Below are 22,535 nucleotides of genomic sequence, written 5' to 3'. Positions count from 1 at the left end.
TTCTACTGCTATGACATACAAATCTGGGTTCTCATCAACTTCAGAACTGAGTTACCAAAAAACAAACAAACAAACAAAACAAAACAAAAAAGCACAACTTATCAGCCTAGCCATGTAATCCTTTGGCTTTGCAATTTACTCCCAGATTAATCTTCTTCTATAAAATGATTTACTGTATAACATCATAACCAATCTCCTCATTTCTCAGCACATGCGTGCACACACACACACACACACACACACACACACACACACACACACACCCCTCCTTGTTTTCTATCTAATTAGGCCCTCATTTTTTCCTGAACTCCATTCTCTTGCATTCTCTGCTGCAGTTATGCTCATGCAACTTTATTTGCTGTTGATAGTAGCTAAACAAGGCAACCAAGGTCTCCTAAATCCCAGTCCGATTCTCATACCAAAGACAGAACTCATGGCCTAAATTATGTGCTGCCATTTTATAGGCGGTTGGAGTGTGAAAAACATGAGAATACCATGTGGGGAGTATAAGATATTAACTTTATTTCCCCAACCTGGTCATCTGTTCCTAATCCTTAACCTAACCGTGTTTTGTCCTTCATACTCATGAATTGCTCTGAACGTCTTTCACTGTAAGAGGGTGTATTGCTGTGCTTAACTGATGTGATCACTTTGATTCTGTATCTGTTTTCCAGGTCAGTCTCACCTACAATGGCTTGGTTTGAAAGCATGTGTCAAGTATATATTTGATGCATTACGTTGTATTATTTCCAGGGATAAAAGAAATTATTGAGAAAAAAATAAGCCAAGAGGAAAAAAAATTCTTTTATGCAATTCTGTCTGCCTATAAAATGTATTTGTTTATCTCTGAAGATAGCAGAACTAATGACAAAAGGCATCTTAGAGGCAGGAAAACCAGAATAGAGTTCACTTGCTTCATGTAACTGCATCTAACTTCAAACTTAAAATTGGAAAACAACCAAGAACAAACTAAAGTTAAGCATGAAGTTCATACCTACAATGTCATCCTAGGCATTCATTAGAAAACATATGTGCCTGATACAGAAAAGGTTGCACAGTACATTGTTTATGAAATAGCCAGTTGGAGAACTGTATACATAGTATAATTCCCTCATTTTTATAATCTTTAGAAGATAAAATTTTAGGCCAGGCACAATGGTAGATACCTGTAGTCCCAGCTACTTGAGAGACTGAGGCAGGAGGATTGTTTGAGCCCAGAAATTCTAGGCTATAGTGCACTATGATCATACTTGTGAATAGCCACTGTACTCCAGCCTGGGCAACATATCAAGATCTTGTCTCTTTAAAAAAAAAATCTATTACATGCTTGCTTATATATGATGGAAAATGTATAGAGGGTATACACAGGAAACTATTTACACGGGTTACACCGGAGTGGATAGGAAAAATTTCTAGTTTTCACAATAAAGTGTCTAGACATATTAATTATTCAATAAAAGCATATTTAAAATGAACACAAATGGGCTAAAGGCTATGCTGCTGGTCATCTCAGGAGTTTCATATTACTGTCACACTTTAAAGTGATCACAAATATTCCAACTAACAGTTGAAAAACTGATGAAAAATGTTTCCACCTTACTTCAAAAGAAAAGCATACAAATGTTGCTTAGTTGTTTGCCATTCAAATACTAGATTGGAAGTAGTTATCCAAGGAAAAAAAAAATTTACCTCATTTCTACAGTTTCAAGCTTCAAAGATTTTATTAGTTCTTAGTTGTTGTTTGTTTGGTTGGTTTGAGTTGTTTTTATTCTGAGGCTCTGCCAAATAAATGATCCTGGCAGTTATGATGTGTAAAACAAAACAAGAGCATCTAATAGATAAACAAGTATAGGGGCATTTTGAATTATATTTACTTAGGTCTAAAAAGCAGCCTTCCAAAACATAGAGTTAACATGTGCTGACAATGTCATGTGAAGTCTTAACTTCATTACCTAGAACACATTGCTTCTCTATTAAATATGAAAATGGTTATGTCTCTAATATCTGCTTTCATTATCACCTAATGCCATTATAGAATAGATTACATTTTTAACAGCATGGCAGCGCTGGCTTCAGTACAGTTTATAGAGCCAAATAGAATATCATTAAAATCAAATTAAACCATCTACTGGTAAGGTAAATCTACTTAGGCACATCAGGTTTTAAACAAAGCAAAATCACACACAGCATGAGAAAGAACCATTGAGTTTCTGCAGTATTCTAAACCAGAGAAGTATTGCAAGGTGCTCAACTAAACCAATTATTCTTCATTTAATTGGCCATGCTATTCGCAATGAACACCCCTTCAATAAATGGTTCACTATAGGCATATTGACTTGAGAACTTAAGCTAAGTTTTCAAACTAGAAAAGAAAATTGTCATCTAATGATGGAAGAACACTACAGCCTTTTCAAAGCAATCACAAGGCTATGTAAAATTATGCCAAGTCTTTAAAGAAAAAAAAGAAAGCAGGATACTGATTAAGCCATCAGGTTGTAAATTAATATTAATAAATAAACCACTGGAGTTTAATTAGTTTCAGGCTTTCTTGCTTAGATAATTTAAAACTCAAAATAGCAAGCAATAGGTGTACATATGCCACTCACAACGTGGAAGAAAGTTGACTTGGGAATAAGGCCCTTTAATGCACACTATATACACAGGACATAAGTGTACCCTGTTCTCAGGATCTATTGACACTTTGATATAAACGAATAATGAGAAAATCTGCTCAAAAATGAAAAGCAGTAACACAAATCAATTTCAACAAAAGAGATAATTTATCAGACAAAAAACTGACTATTTTCCAAAGACCTGGAATAAGAAAAGAAAAAAAGAGAAGCTGTTTGTTTGGTACTGCCAATTTCACATAAGATAGATGTGAAATGACTACATAATTAGGCTGCTTATGTACTTTCTAAGCCAAAGTAACTTTCCTAATGAGTTGTTTATTACTCACATAACTCTCCATAACTTTTTTGAGTTATTCTGTTAAGGTGTGCATTTTCTCTTTAGCTTCTTTCTTTTTTACCTCCCATCAGGAGCTAAAATTGCTTCTGCCTGATTACCCCAAAGACCCATCTTGCCTTTGTACCCTCAGTAGTTAACCGACATCCAGGCGAGAAGCTGGAAGAACACGTACTTTAATGATTCTTGAAGTATGAGTCTGCATCAGGTTTGGATTCTGTCACTGCTTCCACCACTACCTTTTTACCAATCCAGAGTATAGTGCAGGACAGAAAACTGGCACTGCATAGGGGTCAAGGAGATATCTTTCTCTATTTATATCATTATTTGTTTACAAAGAATCTATGTCTCTAGGTTTCTATGAAGTTCCAGGGATCACAAAATTAATCCCAAATTTAAAGGAAGCATAGTTCAACTACAGTAATTACAATAGACTGTGTAGGGCTTGGTTGATTTCAAAAGCAGTATAAGTCAACACTATTATGGGATTACCGGAACCAGGAAATAAATAAGGGGTGGTGTCTTTGCTTGCAATAGTAGAGGCATAATGTCCTATGTCTGAAAGAGAAGAGTCTCCCCTCCCTGACTTAAGATGAGTCCAGGGCCTTCAAAACATTCACAGGGGGATTGGGAGAAGAAACTGAATGCCAGCTATATTCAAATAGCTCAAGGGTCATCACATGAAAGGAAATGTTAGTTTCTTCTGTGTGCTCCCACAGGGAAATGTAAAATGAATGCATGTTAAGACACAGGTAAACATATCTCATTCCTTGCAAAAAAATTATCTGAAAACCAAAGCCTTCCAGAAATAGAAAAGGTGTCAAAATTTCCTCCATAAGCATAGTGAGTCCCAGCTGGCATTGCCCTACCCTTTCTGATGCCGGAGGTCTAGACTTTAGGGCCATGGGTAATGCAATTTCTGGGTTCCACAGGCAGTGATGACACAATGGCAGTGAATCCTTTGAGACCCAACTCTTCATTTTTATATCAGAAAGGATATTCTTAGATAACGTAAGCTACCTACTCAATATTTTTTCATCAGATAAAAGTCCTCATTATAGTATAAACTGTAAAAGGATTTCGTAGTTTGTAAAAATTGTTTATAATAAAATAGTAGTAGTTAGAAGGTAAATGCTTAGGCGAGGAAGATGAGAAGACAGATATGATGCAATGTGTCATATCAGTTATTCAAATACCAAAACGAGTGTAGCCATCATATTATGATTAGTTACAACAGCGCACAATGCTCCTAAAATATAGAATGCAACAAAGTAGCGTCTTCTCTCCATGGACATGGTAGTCGCATTTTCAAAAAGTTTATGGTATAATAAAACCATGGGAAAATAATTTTTAATATATAGTAGACTAACTTTCCAAAACCGGAAAATTATATACAGGATTTTCCTTATGGGACTGGTTTGAAGGATATTTGAAGGGCTTTAAGGACTAAAGGCATCTCTGAGCAATGCAGAAAGTCTAGTTACTTTAATATCCAATCACTACAAGTTCATGACAACCACTCGACATGGTAATACAGAAATGTGAATGTTGTGTTTCCAAAGTGCCTCCTGAGGGTGATTCTGGTTTTGCTCACTCCACGGAGATGGACCTGGCAGAGGCTTCAACAAAAAAGTCAAAACCCCAAGCTCTTGGGAACTGACGTAGAAGGAAGCAGGAAGAAGGAAGATGAGGCCTGGTGGAGTTTCTTGACTGGAAACAATTAGCTGCATTGTTTTTTATACGGTTTCTCCAGCTGCACCCTCTTTCCTGAGCATTGAAAAATACAGATGAGAAGCAGAGGGAGGTTGTAGTTTCTATTTGGTCACAGAGAGTAATCAAGTGGAAGCCAGATCACCATTTACAAGAAAGACTGAATGGGAGATTTGGACATGTACGATTCTATGAGACTGTGTGAAATGTGTATTCACATAGTACTCTGTTACCATAGTAACCAGTCACGTCAGGCTTCCTAGGAGTCTAGGGAGGAGCTGTCAACTTTCACAACTAGTTCATTCACAAACAACCCTTCTTACAAAATGCTTTGTGATGGCAGTGACCACGTAGTTAATCATCCAAAGCAGGTCACTTTTTACAATACAAGTAGATGCTCTTAACAATTTAGAAGGTACAACAAGTATCAACCAGAACTGTCCCAAGCAAACTGATTTACATTGGAATTTATGTCTAAGTAAAGAAGAACCATCAAGAAACAATAACTATTACACTGTGTAACATTACTACGTACATTATATCCCCACATGATCACCAAACCATTCAGGGCTTTTCTTTCTTCTATATTTATAAAAATAAAAAGTAACAAAATTATGGCTTCATGAAAATAATGATAGCTTCTTGTGTTTCTGTATGTTTTTCCCAAGTTAATATACTTGCTGTATGACTATGTTTATACTAAAGTGTATATACTTTAAACTGCCTCTACCAATTATAGTTTAAAATATGTTTAAAACATGTCATGCTATTAAACTAAAAGCATAACTAAGTTAGAAAAATACATATAAAAATACATTGTGTGTTAAGTTGACAAAGTGCTTTTAAAATAATACAGAATATATAATAATATTAGAATCACTCATCCAAAATGAGAACAAGCATAAATGTGTATATTCATGCTAACCAAAAAAATAGCAACATCATGAATTATCGCTATGTTTATATTTCAAATATTATAGTGAAATAAATGTTTTTAAAGTCATTTCTTATCACAAAAATAAAGACTTACCTACCAAAATATTGACTTTTATACTTAAAAAGTCACAATTTGTTATATCAAGAACCTTTAAATTCTTTTCAAAAAGCATATCATTTACATTGTAAACAAGAATTATTTGTGTCCAATATACCTAGGCAGCATGGTCTTCTAAAAAGAAATAAAGGTCTCTTTGACGGGAGGAAAATATTTGGATCTGTTGTATTTTCCAGTTCATTGTTCCAGTTCAGTATTTTGTTCCACTATAGTAGTTTCCTTAAAAAAGTACCTACTCAATAAGTGCCCATTAAATCAAAAAATGGATGACTGACTGAATGAATGAACCAGCATTCTCTCAAACAGGAATGTTTAAGAGGATAAATTATTCAATTATGATCCTACAATGATGATCAGTATTCCCACTGAAATAAACTAAATACATATAAAACATTGTTGCAGTTTGCTTTCTTCCTAATATTTTCTTAGCCATAAAAAAATTAAGATTATAAATGCAGTCCTATTATGTGTAATAAAGTTTCAGAAATTAAATTACCCATGACAGCCCAGTGCAGTGGCTTACGCCTGTAATCCCAGCACTTTGGGAGGCCAAGGCGGGCAGATCACTTGAAGTCAGGAGTTCGAGACCAGCCTGACCAACATGGCAAAACCCTGTCTCTACTAAAAATACAAAAGTTAGCTGGCTGTGGTGGTGCACACCAGCAATCCTAGCTACTCAGGAGGCTGAGGCAGGAGAATTGCTTGAACCCAGAAACCAGAGGTTCCAGTGAGCTGAGATCATGCCACTGCACTCCAGCCTAGACAACAGAGCCAGACTCAATCTCTAAATAAATAAATAACACATGACTATAGATCCAATTATTTAAATTTGGTTCAACAATTTCAGCCAGTGTCAGAGGACTTGCTATGCACCAGTTACTTCTCAGTCACTAAGGATATGTAATTATAAGTTATGCCCTCAGGCAGCTTTTTGTCTAACAATAACCATTTTTCTTTTCTGAGATGGAGTCTCACTCTGTCACCCAGGCTGGAGTGCAGTAGCGCAATCTCGGCTCACTGCAAGCTCTGCCTCCCGGGTTCATGCCATTCTCCTGCCTCAGCCTCCCGAGTAGCTGGGACTGCAGGCGCCCGCCACCAGGCCCGGCTAATTTTTTTGTATTTTTAGTAGAGACGGGGTTTCACCATGTTAGCCAGGATGGTCTCGATCTCCTGACTTCGTGATCCGCCCACCTCGGCCTCCCAAAGTGCTGGGATTACAGACGTGAGCCACCGTGCCCGGCCTGAGCCACCATGCCCGGCCACCATTTTTCAATTGACCTATTTTCTTTTTGTAAATTGGCAGATAAATCTGTATATATTTACAGTGTACAATATGTTTGTAAAATGACTAAATCTAGCTAATTAACATATGCTTTAACTTGCAGTCATCATTTTTGTGGTGAGAACACTTTACATTCACTCTCTTGGCATTTTTCAAGAATATAAATATATTATTAACATAGTCACCATAGTTTTACAATAGATCTCAAAAGATCTTTTGTCATAAAAATAAGTATTATTATAAAAGTTTATCATACACCTCATTACTCTCAGTAATTGATCAAAGAGTATGTCTCGTATATGACATTTACATAGTGGCTTTTTAAAACTATCCTCAATCATATATGTAAACTCATACTGAGTTAATATGATGGTGTTAATAGAAAGAGCCAATCTAACTTTATTTATGCTCTTTCCATACATAGGTATGAGTGGTTTATAATTAGAATTATTATAATAACTATTTTATAAAGTATTTTGAGTATTTTTAACTTTTCCCCTTGCACACTAAATAACCATTGCTTGAACTTCCTATGTGGTTAAGATTACTAAGCAAGGATAAATTTCATCCCTCTTCCCATTTGATTCATCATAAAATCTGAATAACTTCAAGAGCCAGATAATGATATATTAATATATACATGTGAAATAACAATAAGAGTACATGATTCACTTTTCACAGGCAGGATTTAAGTTGATTAGGCACACATATGGCTATAATTTCACCCATACCAGAAATTACATTGTACTACTGCCATATATGCAACATCTTGTTAAAAATATGTATCTGTCAAATCTTTCTTTTTCTCCAATTCAGAATGAATAGTCGATTAAATATAAGAAAAAAATCTACAATTGGTTACCAATAGAAACTAGGATACCTCTTTCACTGGCAATATTTTAAAACAGAAAAGAAATAAAAAAATAAAAATTCAAAAATCATTTATTCAGCAGATTCTAAGCACCACTGATCTTCTAAGCTTCATTTATTGCTCTTCTAAGCACCATTATAAAAACTAGGGTTATAAAGACAGAACATGCTCCCTACCCTATTGGAACCGAGAGTTTGCTAGGGGACATGCGTATTTAAAATGAAAAAACAAATATGCTCTGTGTCAAAATGTAATATGAACCACACGCTACAAAATTACAAAGAATAGCTACTTAAACATATATTTTTGATCTGTAACTTCAAAAAATTGAATAGACTAAATGTCTAGATGAGATTCCTTTTATTCCCATGATTCAATAAATTTAGCTTTCTTTAAATCCTAAATGAATTAAGTTGTTTTGAAATATCAGATAATTTCATATGACTATCTAGGATATAGGATTTATTTGAAGTGAAATCCTAGATCAATCAGTTACATGAGATATTTAGCAACATTTTTTCCTCTGGTAAAGTACTAAATTTGTTTACTTTTGCTTTTAAGATTTAGTGATTATATTTTGTTGTCCCCTCTGAAATCTTTTTTTTTAGGAAAATAGATCACCAGATTGATCAAATCAGTCAAATAAAAGGGCTTTCTAAATGTATTCAAGATCCAGCTAAACAATGAATCAAACAAGTTGGCTCTATTTATATGCTGGCTGACAGACAGAATTTTCTCACACATAATCATCAGAAATCACTAAGAAAATATATCCAGTTCACCAAAATAGCAAAACCTTTGGATACAGTGTTTACTCTCATCATTAGCTTTAATCACATGCTTATTTCATTATCATTTGTCTTTACATTTCAATCTTTTACCATAAAATAATAACTATTTTGTTTGATATTCTGCTTCCACTTTGCACTTTTTAACAAGAAAAAGATGTCAATAACATACATTGGAATGTGACTGTTCAGTACCCCACTGCATAATTACTTTATGTGTCATACACAGCATGTTATAAACTCTGTGGATTAATATTCTAAACATAATTTGTACTGAATATACTAACCCTCCATTCATTTACATGGGAAACAAGCACATTTTAAAACTACCTTAATCTTTTGGTAATCTGCACTTTCTGCTCTTTGGTTTTAATATTTTATTTTCTAATATAGTTCAGTGCATATGGGAGGCAAAAAGTTGATTGCTTGATAAGCACATGTAGAAAAACAGGAGAAAAATAAAAGCAAATCTGGAAAGCAGATTGCTTGATAAAGTCATTTAGGAAATAGGAAACTAAAATCAAATCTGTATCGCTTTTCTGTACAAAATGCAATCTGAAAAGTTGGAAGAATAAAGTTTTTAAGCCATTCATAATACATCTGTGGGCCCTAATGCAAGACAACATATCTAGAAGAAAGGAAGTGAAAGCTGTAACAAAGAATAAACATTTAGGATGGAACAATATTCAAAAAATAAGAGACTTAATGCTTCCTACCTTCAGTAGTATCAGTAGTATCTCCGTGGCTCTTTCATGGATAGAGTTGGCATCGATTTGGATATCAGAAACAGATGGCTCTCAGCTCCCTCACTAATTCTATCATCTTCTGTAAATCTCTTAACTGTTCTGAGAAAAATAGCACCTGCCTCACAATAATCACCAATCCTGTTCTCCTATTTACTGCTTGTGGTCCCAGTACGACAGCAAACTGAGATACCCATCAGGTGCTGAGCAAGGGGTCTTATGTGTCTTTGCTCCTCAAAGCAGGCTGCTCATCATAATCACTAGAGAAGTTTTACAAACAAAACAAAACAAAACAAAAACACACACACAAAAAAAACGACTGCCTGGGTTCAACCCCAGAGGTACAGATAAAATTGACCTGAGGTGAGGCCAGATAGAGAGGACTCTTGTTTTATACTTGTTGGTTGCTTGTTTTAAACGACCCCAGGTGTGTCTGATGGGCAGGCCGTGTTAAGAGCTCCTGCTGGAACTCAAATGTAAATTAGCTGAATCCTGATACCATCACCTGCTCCAGCTGCATGACTTCAAACAGAAAGTAGAGAATGATCCTGTTGTGGATTTCAAGAATCTGAAGTTGAGGAATGAAGGCTGGAGGATAGAATAAAGAGGTGGGGCAGGAGGTTCTCTGCCAGCACAAAGGTAAGATGCCAAAACAGAGAAAGCCAAACATACTTGTATAGACAAAGACTCCCTCTTCAGCCAATTTTAATCAGAATCCCCCACCCACTCTCAACATAGCATCAAGCTCCTCATCCCCCAACCCTAAATATCTAATCAAGATCCTCTTAGTAATTCTCTATCCACTGACTCTCACTCTGCCCATTAGCTGTAAATCCTCACCTGTCTCTGTTGTATTTGGAATTGAACTCAGATCCATAGTGAAGTAGTCCCTCTTCCGTTCTGCAGTACCTCGAATGAAATCTGTCTTTGTGTCATTAACATGTGTCAGAATAATTTCTCAATAACAGTTCCTATGTTCTCCAAAACATAGTGAAAACTATGGAGAACTCAAATCCAGGTAGAAGTCTACATATGGAGCCACAGACTCTTTGAATCAAAGTGGGGAAAACCAAGAGGAAGTTAAGACAGAGGTAAATGTGGAAGATTCTAGAGATTTTCCAGAACTGTGAGCAGGGCCTTTGGAAAGCCAGGAGAGTGCCTAAAGACAAGGCTAGCAACTGCCATCTACCAGCAGACAAGCCAGCAGCAATTCTTTGAAAACCTCGCGCTGGCTGCACTGACTATGCCTCACAGCCTTGGTCACATGGAAATGTAAGCCCTAGGATAGAGTTTCACTGATGGCAGTGTTTCTTCTTTCCTGCAAAATCCCAACAAACACCTCCCCTTGCACTACACGTTTTAGAATGTCTTTCAATGATATTAAATAGTCTCTACGGCCAGGCGCAGTAGCTCACATCTGTAATCCCAGCACTGTGGGAGGCCGAGGCAGGCGGATCACAAGGTCAGGAGTTCAAGACCAGCCTGGCCAACATGGTGAAATCCCGTCTCTACTAAAATACAAAAATTAGCCAAGCATGGTGGTGAGCACCTGTAATCCCAGCTGCTCGGGAGGCTGAGGCAGGAGAATTGTTTGAACCCAGGAGGCGGAGGTTGCAGTGAGCCGAGATTGTGCCATTACACTCCAGCCTGGGCAATAGAGACTCCATCTCAAAAAAAAAAAAAAAAAATAGTATCTACATTGCCCAAACTGTCTCTATAAGCAAAATCCATCTTTTGCCTTTATTGAAACTCTATGGACGCTGCCTTGCTGCCTACTCAAATGTTCTTTTCTCACCCTAATTGAACCCTAGGATGAGAAAATGAGGCCGGAATTTTCCCCACTTTGTATTGTGAATCCATTATTAAATTATCTAAGTATTTAAAAAAATTGTATGTAATTCATCCATTTTATTTAAGAACCCTCTGCTCCTACCTGTTGTATCATCTACTAACCTCAAGCTTCCTCTGATTCATTGAAAACTTGACCCACACTCTTCTTCAACCCAAGTCTTCTATCACCTGGGGTTTATGCTGAAAGCTTTGGCATGGGTTGGGTTATTCGCATTTGATAATCTCAAAAACCTGTGAGAATTTATTTTTAAAGATATTACCACTAATAATAGTAATAGTAATGATTTAACTAGCACTCATTTTGTCAGCTACTGTCCTAAAGATTTCATGTGTATTAACTTACTTATTTTCCCAACAATCATGAGATAGGTATTCTTAAGGAAACCAAAGTCCGAGTAAACTGAGTAAGTGGCCTGAATTCATAAGGTAGTAAGTGGTGTGACCAGAATTTGAACTGTTGAAAAGGTAAACTGAGGGACAGTAAAATTTTAAAGTTTATGTGCACAAACAATTCATGAATCAGGTAGCTCCAAACCAAAAGTGGTTCTGGGGCTCCATTGAAGTAGTGTAAGAAACAGGCTTTTATAGACAGAATGTGGAAGTCATACAAAGAACTTATTTAACAGTCTATGGTTATACAGTTGCCTTCTTTGGTCTATCCCACTGGAGAGTCCCTAGTTATATAATTATAAGTTTGTTGGCTGTTTGTGATTCGTTTAGCTTATGTTCTGTTTTTCTTTTATATAGGCATTTATAAGAATTAGCTCAAGTTTTGCTTATGTTTGCAAATCTCCTAAGTAGAAGTGAGGTGACTGCTACTTAGGAGGCCCAGCTGGCTTTGTCTGCTCAGGGATTTTTCTTTAAGTGAATCAAAATTTATGGGATGGCAAAGCCTAACTTTTTTCCATTACGGTACTCTGCCTTCTCCTCACCAAATGCTATGCCTTGACTCCACTAGAAGAGATAGGATTGAGTCTCACACAAATACATTTCTTTTTTAAACTTCTGCTACAGGTGTTCTACCTACACTGAAAAGTGGATTCTAATGGCAGACAAGTTTGACTTCAGAAATTCCATTCAATCATGTATGTTTCCTGGTTTGCTAAAGATCTCTCTGATCCTGTGAAGGAAATCACAACTCCCCTCTGACATTCAGCCCTATAAATATCAAATTGTTATTTTAGAAACTTACACTATACCCAAACAATGCCAACATTTCATTATTTAAATGACATTGCTGCATACTGTCCACTGAATACAAAGTGCTATTCTTAAAACATACTCCAGGTTAAAACATGTATTCCACTACATGTGGAAATCCTTTGGAGAAGGATGTTAGGACTAGAGGGTAACCAGAATGCATGGATGGTATTCCAGAAATAGATGGACCATATGCCATTTCATCATTTACCAGTGCAAATTAAAGACTTTTACCATCAAAATGACAGAGGGCAATTAATAAGCATTGTCTCAGGCAGGAAACACACCAGATCCCACACGTTTTAAGATTTAATGTTTAAAATAGTAACATCTCACTAGCCAGAAAAAAAGTATCCTCACAGCATTCCCACATCCCATCCTTGCTCATAAACAGAGGCCCTCATAAAGCTTTGATTAACACTTTGTGTATTAAAACAGAGAAAAATATACAGTGACCCAATTGTGATCTTTTCAGAAGTTTGAATAAATTATATTTTATTATTGTATAACTAAACCAAGTCCTTAAGAAGAAGCTTTGTAGGGGTATTAAAATTGTGAATACAATCTTGTTCCTTACACTAGTAATTTCTCGTCATTATGCCAAATAATCCATCGGGGCTCTTCACGTGTTGCTCCAAGGAGGTCCACCATTTATAGACATCAAGGGAACCCAGTTGGTGTTGGATCCCAGCTGGACAAAGAAGACCGTCCACTAGTCAAGGCATGTCTTGGGATGTTTCTCTCCCAAAGGCTCCATTTGTAGGCTGGAGAAGTAGGAACTGTTAAGATGTCCTCCCAGTTACCCCCAAGCTATAAAGAAGCACATGCCTCCTAGAGATGACAGAAACAGGTTAAATGAGCCAGTGTTCAAATACCTGCCAAAATCAAATGGGCACTGGAGTATTCAAGACTATAGAAGGAGCAACAGTCTCCTTTCTGTACTTCTCCTTGTCCTTCCTCATGGCTCACCAACACAGACTGCATAAAATTAACTAACATCAACAACTGCAGGAAGCTCAGCATAGCTAATGCAAGAAGAGAGTAACTCTGGGAACTATGAAGAGTAATTAACATGGTGGTCCCATTCTCTGAAATAGTCTCTCTTCTCACCTCTCCTAGTCAAGCACATATATTGGTCCTAAATATTGTTTTCTCTTTGAAAACTTCTCAAGTTCTCTTCAGGAAGGACCAGTAGCACATATCCAAGCATCACCATTTTAGGACATGAGCCATCAATCTGTGATTATTTGTTTGCAGGAAGCACGAGATTTCAGACTCCAGGCACTTTGAAGTGGAGGATCCTGAGTTTTGCATTCCCATTATCAAAGACAGTAACAATTGGTTATTAGGTTCTCAAACATGTTTATTGAGTCAATGAATGCGTAAATGAGTTAGTAAAGCTAACATTAAGGAAATGTCTGCCAATGGAACCGGGTTGGATTTGAAATGGGTACAAGAAGTGAAGCAACAAGGTTTTCTTTTTTTTTTTTGAGACGGAGTTTCTCTCTGGTTGCCAAGGCCGGAGTGCAATGGCACAATCTTGGCTCAGGGCAACCTCTGCCTCCCGGGTTCAAATGATTCTCCCACCTCAGCCTCCCAAGTAGCTGGGATTACAGGCATGTGCCACCACACCTGGATAATTTTGTATTTTTAGTAGAGATGGAGTTTCTTCATGTTGGTCAGACTGGTCTCGAACTCCTGACCTCATGTGATCCTCCTGCGTTGGCCTCCCAAAGTGCTGGGATTACAGGCATGAGCCACCATGCCAAGCCAGTTTTCTTAAATTCTATATAAAGGAAAGAACTGATACCTCTATTGTCTCTACTCTTGGCCTCATTCCTATTCTTTTTTTTTTTTTTTTTGAGACAGAGTCTGGCTCTGTGGCCCAGGCTGGAGTGCAGTGGTGTGATCTCAGCTCACTGCAAGCTCCGCCTCCCGGGTTCACACCATTCTCCTGCCTCAGCCTCCCAAGTAGCTGGGACTACAGGCACCCGCCACCACGCCCGGCTAATTTTTTGTATTTTTAGTAGAGACGGGGTTTCACTGTGTTAGCCAGGATGGTCTCAATCTCCTGACCTCGTGATCCGCCCGCCTCGGCCTCCCAAATTGCTGGGGTTACAGGCATGAGCCACCGTGCCCAGCCTCCTATTCTTAAACCTCAATTCACAAAAGGAACTTGCTGAATTTACGAATAATAAAACCAATAAATTTTAATACTTATTTTCAGTAATGTAGTGCAAAGAAACAGAAATCTCAATGCAATGCTAAAATATAAACACCTGAAAAGCCATTAAGGATTTCACTAAACAGCTTTATATTCACCATATTTTCCTGGATGTACCCCTCCTACACACCCATGCATTACTGTGATTTGGCTGGGTGTTGTCACTTGTGTTATGTAAACGGTGACCTTGGCATGTATTTGGAGATAGAATATCTCTCTGCCCTGCAGGCTCACTACCTTATTTCATTGGGAGTAAAGATTTTCCCAGGTGCTGCTATGCTGCAGCTTGTTGTAGCTGTTGACATTAATTAATTTATGCAAATCTGCTAGATACTATCCTTGATTAATATCTTCCCTGCTTTATTAATTCTGAATACCTTAAGAGGCTGTTGGATATGTATGATGCAATATCTGCTTAGAGAATAACTACTCATACGATTAATTTAGACCCCGAAGAACAGTACTTGATCTCCTCTAGTTGATACTAGTAATTACATATAATTTATAACTTTAAAAAGAGTAACTGCACCAGAAATAAAACTAAGTTTTACAAATTTTCTACAAGTGGCATTGGCATATAACACTCTTAAAATAGCTATGTGAGTTTGCAATCTAAAAGTAATAGCAGAGAAAATGTAATGAGTGCCTACACTATGCCAGGCTCTGTGCTAATGGCTCCATATGCTTTAACTCTTAATAGAAGAATCCAACCAAGCAAGTGTGAGTGGCAGTTCTTGAATTCTAACCTTGACCACTGCAGGAGAACCCAATTCTTAACCATTATTTTAGGTAAATCAAAATAACTCAGACATTCAGCAACATTTATTATGGAATTCATGGAAGTCATTTTAGCGATCACTGTTCCTTCCACATTTTCATGTTTTCTGACTTTATTTAAATTAGTTCCTCCACTAAGTACTTAGCTTCCATGAAGGCTGAATTAATATATTACATTGCTCTGCACTGCCCACAAACATTCAAAACAGTAGTTTGTATTAAAAGTGGTTGTATTGATTGAATCTTTATGGTTAAAACATTTTCTGTCAATTTATTAGAAGTCAAAATCACTTAATTCCCCTCCTTAGATATTTTTGCAAGTGGCAGATAGTCACTTAAAGGTATTTATGAGATAAAAGGGAAGTGCTCATTACTAGAGAACCTATGAATTTTATGGAGAGTAGTGGAAACAAGATGTTGAAAGAAACAAATGACCCCATGAGATCATGTATTCAATAAATCTTTACTGAGTCCAAGGAACTGTAGTCCAGATGGTTGCATAAAATGCCTGCCACCAGAAGTGCACAATCTAATAGATGCAAGTAACAGAAGTGCAAAAATAACTATTACATGAGACACCATGTGACTAATTCCAAAAAAAAAAAAAACCCTAAGAGAAAAGTGCTACTGTGGTACCAACGGAAGGGATTGCATCTGCTTTGATCAGAGAAAGCTTGAGAGATACCTAACCTAGACTCCCAGAGAGAGAAAATCCACGTCAGGCAGTACGCAGGGGATGGTTTGAAAAAGACAGAGAAACCCATGGGGCGAGGTGACTCATGCCTACAATCCCAGCACTTTGGGAGGCTGAGGCGGGCCAATTGCTTGAGCCTAGGAATTTGAGACTAGCCTAGGAAAGATAGGGAGACCCCCATCCCTATAAAAAAAAAAAAGAAAAAAGAAAATATTAGGTGGGCCTAGTGGCATGTGCTAGTACTCCCAGTTACTGGTGAGGCTGAGATGGGAGGATCGCTTAAGCCCAGGAAGTCAAGGCTACAGTGAGCTGTGATGGCACCACTGCACTCCAACCTGGGTGACAGAGTGGGACCCTGTCTGAAAAACACAAAAACAAACAGAAACCCAAAGTGGTGTGCCTGCCTGCTAGAAGGACAAGGACTTCTCCAGTCCATAAGAAGACAGAAGAGGAAGAAAGCCTGGGAAGATAAGCAGAAGCAAAATCCTGAAATCTATGACTATTAAACTGAGGGACTGGGCTCTGATTAGAGTTTATCACAAAATATTTATAATAAATCTGGGTACATGCAAGATCTGGGGAATGGGGTGTGGTTGTCATTGCTGATGTTTGTATCTCAAAAATTATTTTACTTGAAAATGAGATCATTCTATGCATAGGCTCGTTCTTTCTGTGAGTGTGCATATCCACCTTATGGGAAGTGACTGATTTTTGGTCTGGCACTGCCTATGTCAGAATGTGTGACTCTGGAAAATCACTTTACTGCTTTCTCTTTCCTCCAAGTACTTCATGTATAGGAAGGGAAGATTAGTCTAGGTGAACCTAACATTTGTTACTCCATATTTTATCAAGCCAATTGTGGTGACAGCTGTATTGTAAGACAGAGGGATTGCTTTTGGGAAGACTCAGGTCAAGTATGATCTCCCCATGAAGGCTCTCCCCACACCCTACTTATGTCCCATCGCATTTTCTTCATTTATACAAACTCATGTGAGTCACAACGTCTTTAGTCTCAAGTTGTTCCCTACCTAGAGAGAAGACCATACGTAATTACAACTTAAGACAGTGGTAAGCAGCAAACAGTGGTACAACCAAATGATAAGGAATTTCTGGAGGAGGTGACATTTTAGCTGAGGTGAAGGGGGGAGGGTGGGGAAAATCATTTTGTTTTTTACTTTTTACTTTTTGTTCTGTTAAAGACAGGGTCTTGCTCTGTTGCCCAGTGGTGCACTCACTACTCACTGCAGCCTCAAACTCCTGGGCTTACTCAATACTCCTGCCTCAGCCTCCCAAGTAGCTGGGACCACAGGTGCACGCTAACACACTCAGCTAATTTCTTTTTTTATTTTGCATTTTTAAGAATTAAATTAAATTTTAAGTTCTGGGATACATGTGCAGGTTTGCTACACAGGTAGATGTGTGCCATGGTGGTGTACTGCATCTATCAACCCATCACCTGGGTATTAAGCCCCACATGCATTAGCTATTTATCCTGATGCCCTCCCCCATGGTAGGCCACAGTGTGTGTTGCAGAGATGGAGTCTCACTAAACATAGAACCAAACATAGTGCCAAGGCTGGTCTTGAACTCCCGGCCTAGAAGAAACATTTTACTTAGGTTCTTTTAGCTGTGAAGAACAGTCTCACTGAATTAATTTTAAGGTAGGAGGGTAGAGTAAGGGATTAATATAAGGATGCACATACAAGGGAACCCAAGAAAAGCCAAATCACACAGCCTCAAGGAACGCATCTGGCGGCTGAAGCTGAAGGACAGGGGCTCACTGTCTAACTCCAGCCTACACGTGACTCAGCTTCTCTTCAGTTGTTTCCAACCATCCCTCCTCACTGTCAAGTGGATTTCTGACCCTGTATTTGGCCTATCTTTTGTCTACCTCATGGCTGCTCCTCCATGTTTGAACCTCCTCATAACTTTGGATGGCTACGACTCCTGAAGGGTCCACCTCCACCTCGTACCTGAGGCATTCACTGACTAAGTCACTGTGCCATGAATCATTGTTCTCTCAGAATGAGATGTCTGCATGGAGAGTCCCAAGAGAAAGGGAACTTGATTGGCCCAGCTCATCTTTTAATGCCTATGTAATGCCTCCTCATGGCTCAGATGCCCCCACATAGTCCAGTTAGTTGTTTCTGGAGGTAGAGGAGAAGGAATGGAGACTATGGGACATGGAGCTGTGCCAGCCACTGTAGTAGGGAAGGTGGGAAAGGCAGTCCCTTGAGAGAGGTACGGATATGGAAGGCTTTTGTCATGTCCAGATTACAGAGTCTCAAGCAGAAAGAACATCAGGTACAGGAGGCAGGAAAGAAAGAGGCATGGGTGAGTAATTACGAGTTTAATCCAGTCAAGGCACAGCATGTGACAAACAATCCCAGGCACCTATGTAGGACATTGTATTAAAAGAAGATAAATTAAGGTAGAAAGATTCTTTAGGAGCCTACTGCCATAATCCAACTGAGAGAAAATGAAGATGAAAACCTAAACAAAGACAGTGACAGTGGTACTAGAGGGAAGAAGGAGGGTTTCAGAGGAATTCCAGAGGTAGAATATACTAGACTACATCATAAATTAGATGTGAGAAATAGAGAAAAGTCAAATAGGACTCTCAGGCTCCTAATTTGTGCAAAAGGCAGTGCCATTAATTGAAATAGAAATGGAAAGAGAAGTGCTACAGGCTGAATATTTCCTTCCCCACAAAACTCATATGTTGAAATCCCCCTGTTTTAAGAGGTAGGAGGACCTTTGGGACATAATCAGGTCATGAGGGTAGACCTCCCATAAATGGAGTGAGTGCCATTACAAAAAGGGAGCTTGGGCCTGGAGAGGTGGCTCACGCCTGTAATCCCAGCACTTGAGCCCAGGAGTTCAAGACGAGCCTGGCCAACATGGTAAAACTCCATCTCTACCAAAAATACAAAAAAAAATTAGCCGGCCATGATGGCACACGCCTGTAATCCCAGCTACACTGGAGGCTGAGACATGAGAATGGCTTGAACCCAGGAGGCATAGGTTGCAGTGAGCCGACATGGCACCCACTGCACTCCCTCCTGGATGACACAGGAGCCCCAAGGTGGGCGGATCACAAGGTCAGGAGATCGAGACCATCCTGGCTAACACAGTGAAACCCCGTCTCTACTAAAAATACAAAAAAATTACCCGAGCGCAGTAGCAGGCGCCTATAGTCCCAGCTACTTGGGAGGCTGAGGCAGGAGAATGGTGTGAACCTGGGAGGCGAAGCTTGCAGTGAGCCGAGATCGCGCCACTGCACTCCAGACTCTGTCTCAAAAACACACACACACAAACAAACAAAAAACAAAACAAAACAAAACAAAAACCACAGAGACAGACAGAGAACTTGCTTTTTCGATCTCTTCTGGCCTCCTGATCTCAGACTTCCAGCCTCCAGAACTGTGAGAAATCAGTTTGTTGTTTAAGCCACCTAGTCTATAGGATTCTTTTGTTCTTTTTCTTTCTTTCTTTTTTCTCTTTTTTTTTTTTTTTTTTTTTTTGAGACAGGGTCTCCCTGTACCACCCCAGCTTCTGTGCAATGGCACGACCACTGTCTGCTGCATCCTCAACCTCTCTTGACTCAGGTGATCTTCAGCCTCAGCCTCCTGACTACTGGGACTACAGGCACACCGCCACAATGCCCAGCTAGTATTTGTATTTTTTTTTTTTTTTTTTTTTTTTGCAGAGACAGAGTTTCCTCATAATCACCCTGGCTGGTCTCGAACTCCTGAGGCTCAAGCAATCTGCCCACCTAGGCTTCCCAACATTCTGGGATTACAGGCACAAGACACCACGCCAGACCTAAAATTTTTTTCTATAGCAACCTGAACTGACTTAACCAGGAGATTTCAAGAAAACAAATGAAAACACAATGAATGTGGGAGAGAAAGAGAATGAGTTCAACTCAGGCCAAATTTAAAATGGCTGATGTATGTCCAAGCAGAATAATCAGTAGGTAGTTGGATACGTGAGGCTGAAGCATTGAGAAGAGTCTGGGCCAAAAATAAAGACACAGTGACCATTCATAGTTACATTAGATAGAACTCTCGGAAGGGTGTGAAAGAGGACAAAACATAGAAAACTGACTGGGGTTTTCAGATCTTTGTTATTATGTACACATTGCTGTGCTATGGATGCAGGTGTGCATTATCTCCCCCACTAGACTCTAAGCAACTTCGAGACAGGCAATGCCTCTTTGTTTTCTTGGTGTACTGAGTGCCAAGCATACGGTATGGTAACAAAACAGAAGAAGGAAATGCATGAACTACCTTACACAGGCACCAAATCAACTACTTCCTGAGGGAAAGGGAGATTTGTTTTGTCTTTTTTGCAGGGGCAGGGGATGGGGGTGGATAGTGGGGGAAGAAGTTATTAGGAAATTTGGAATCATTATGAAGTAATGACTAAATACTAAATAACAGATTCATTATTAAAGAATCCATGTATCAAAGATATTCATTGTTTCAGCCAAATAACCAAATAACCAGATTATGTCTTTGGGAAAAAAATTATTATTATTTTCTTATTGAAGGCCTGGGTAAAGGATAGAAATGTAGACATTTGTCAAAACTAAATTGTATATATAATATTTGTGATTTTTACTGTAAATAAGATACTCTCAAATAAAAAATATCTTTGGAGAAAGGGTATCCAAATAGTGAATAGAAAATAATTCACTATTTCTTGTTTAAATTTCCCAACAAATACCCATTTATTGAGCACACACTTAGATCCTTTATTGTGTGGTGAGAATATATTAAAACATCACTGTGACAAAGTTCTTATTCTCAAGGAACTCACAGTTTAGGGTTAAGCTAGACATGAAAAGGGATCATTACAATGGACGATAATTGAAGTAAGAATAGAGTGCCAAGGGTCAAACACAGCTGTATAAAGAGGTTGCAATCTTTTTTGTCTCCCCTGTGCTCCTAGTTGAGATGCTTAGAAGGAAATGAAGCTGAAAATCTCACTTCCTAAACTCATGAATGAATACATCACCAGAACTCTGTGTACTAATTACATGTGTAGCTCATTACAAGAGACATGGGCAAAAATAGAATGAAATGATTTAAAAAATGGGCAAAAACAAAATAAAACAAATTTTCAAGATAACAATAGTGTGCTATTTAGTGTGCCTCCTTCAAACACAATCAATGACACTGCATTCCATTATATAAATCACCCATCCAGGGGAAAAGTGGAAGGGGATAATAAGGCAGAGTTAGCTACTTTAAAAAATGAATATTAGAAATTGTCCATTACTCAGATAATCTTACATTTTCACAAATCACAAGTTTAATTTCTACTCACACTCAACAACTCACCCTAAGTACTAAACAATCTTTAAAAATGTAACAACGTTTCAAGTAACATAGTTCTAACTAACAAAAACAGATATCAGATTAATTTCTGGAAAAGGAAATCTCCTATAGAAATTAGATTTTTGTTTTCTGAATTTTTATTGAATTCAGAAAAGGTTTCCCAAACACTATATGAGGTTATTTTTTTAAGTTAGGTAAAGAGGCATAATTTTTAATTGTTTTTTTCCCCCTAATACCGAGACACTACAGCTACTCACGAAAGGAACTTCTGACCAGCCTGGGCAACATGATGAAACCCTGTCCCTACAAATAGAAAAAAATTAGCCCGAGATGGTGGTGTGTGCCTGTAGTTCCAGCTACTTGGGAGATGGAGGTGGGAGGATGGCTTGAGCCCTGGAGGTCAAGGCTGAGCCATGATTGCACCACTGCACTCCAGTCTGAGTGACAGAATGAGAACCTGTCTCAAAAAATAAAAATTAAAAAAAGGAACTTCTACCTGGAATATAACTAGACACACTGGCCAAAGATAAGGTTTAAATATGAGTGTCTTTAGCCAGGCCTGCTAGTCAATGAGGCAAATAAACTTTTATCAACCCATTTCAAATTGTTTTCTAGAAAATCTTCTGGTACATGGTTAATTGTAGAAATTGACACCTACTAAAGATTTAAATACTGTATATTTGAATACTAAATGAATATGGGTATAAAATTATCTTAAGTTTCTTACTATAGGGAAAAGAATGATGGTAATTATACATTTAAAGTAATTGTGTATTTTAATCACTAAGGGTAAATTAACTACAGAAAAGCAGATTTACTTGTATTACAAACACATCAATACACTCTGTGTAAATTTCACAACCCATTTATTCCATAATATGTTTATTCTGCTTGACATACATATATACAAGCATGTAATATCTGCCAAGTCATGGAAACGCTTTCTTTAAATATTTGTGAGCATATTTATAAGAGTACCATATAATTGTTAACATTTTCTTGTTTGGGTTGTTGTATATATTTTGAGAT

At 38.0% G+C, this 22,535-nt stretch overlaps 1 protein-coding gene across 2 annotated transcripts in view, besides 1 other annotated feature; it reads right to left on the bottom strand.

Moving 5' to 3' along the window:
* Window positions 1–22,535, bottom strand: part of GPC6 (glypican 6) — a 1,191,492-nt gene that overhangs the window by 1,093,045 nt on the left and 75,912 nt on the right. The gene's annotated exons all lie outside the window — the stretch shown is intronic.
* Window positions 9,651–10,203: an enhancer, noted in NCBI's record as "OCT4-NANOG hESC enhancer chr13:93957026-93957578 (GRCh37/hg19 assembly coordinates)". NCBI's record gives its function as "activates a minimal SCP1, AML or CMV promoter by ChIP-STARR-seq in primed H9 embryonic stem cells {active_cell/tissue: H9 hESC(primed)}" and the evidence as "EXISTENCE:reporter gene assay evidence [ECO:0000049][PMID:30033119]".

Source organism: Homo sapiens, chromosome 13 (genome assembly GCF_000001405.40).
Source record: "Homo sapiens chromosome 13, GRCh38.p14 Primary Assembly".
NCBI classification, from domain to species: domain Eukaryota; kingdom Metazoa; phylum Chordata; class Mammalia; order Primates; family Hominidae; genus Homo; species Homo sapiens.
Note: the sequence above shows the minus strand (reverse complement) of the source record. Positions and strands in the feature narration are given on the sequence as shown.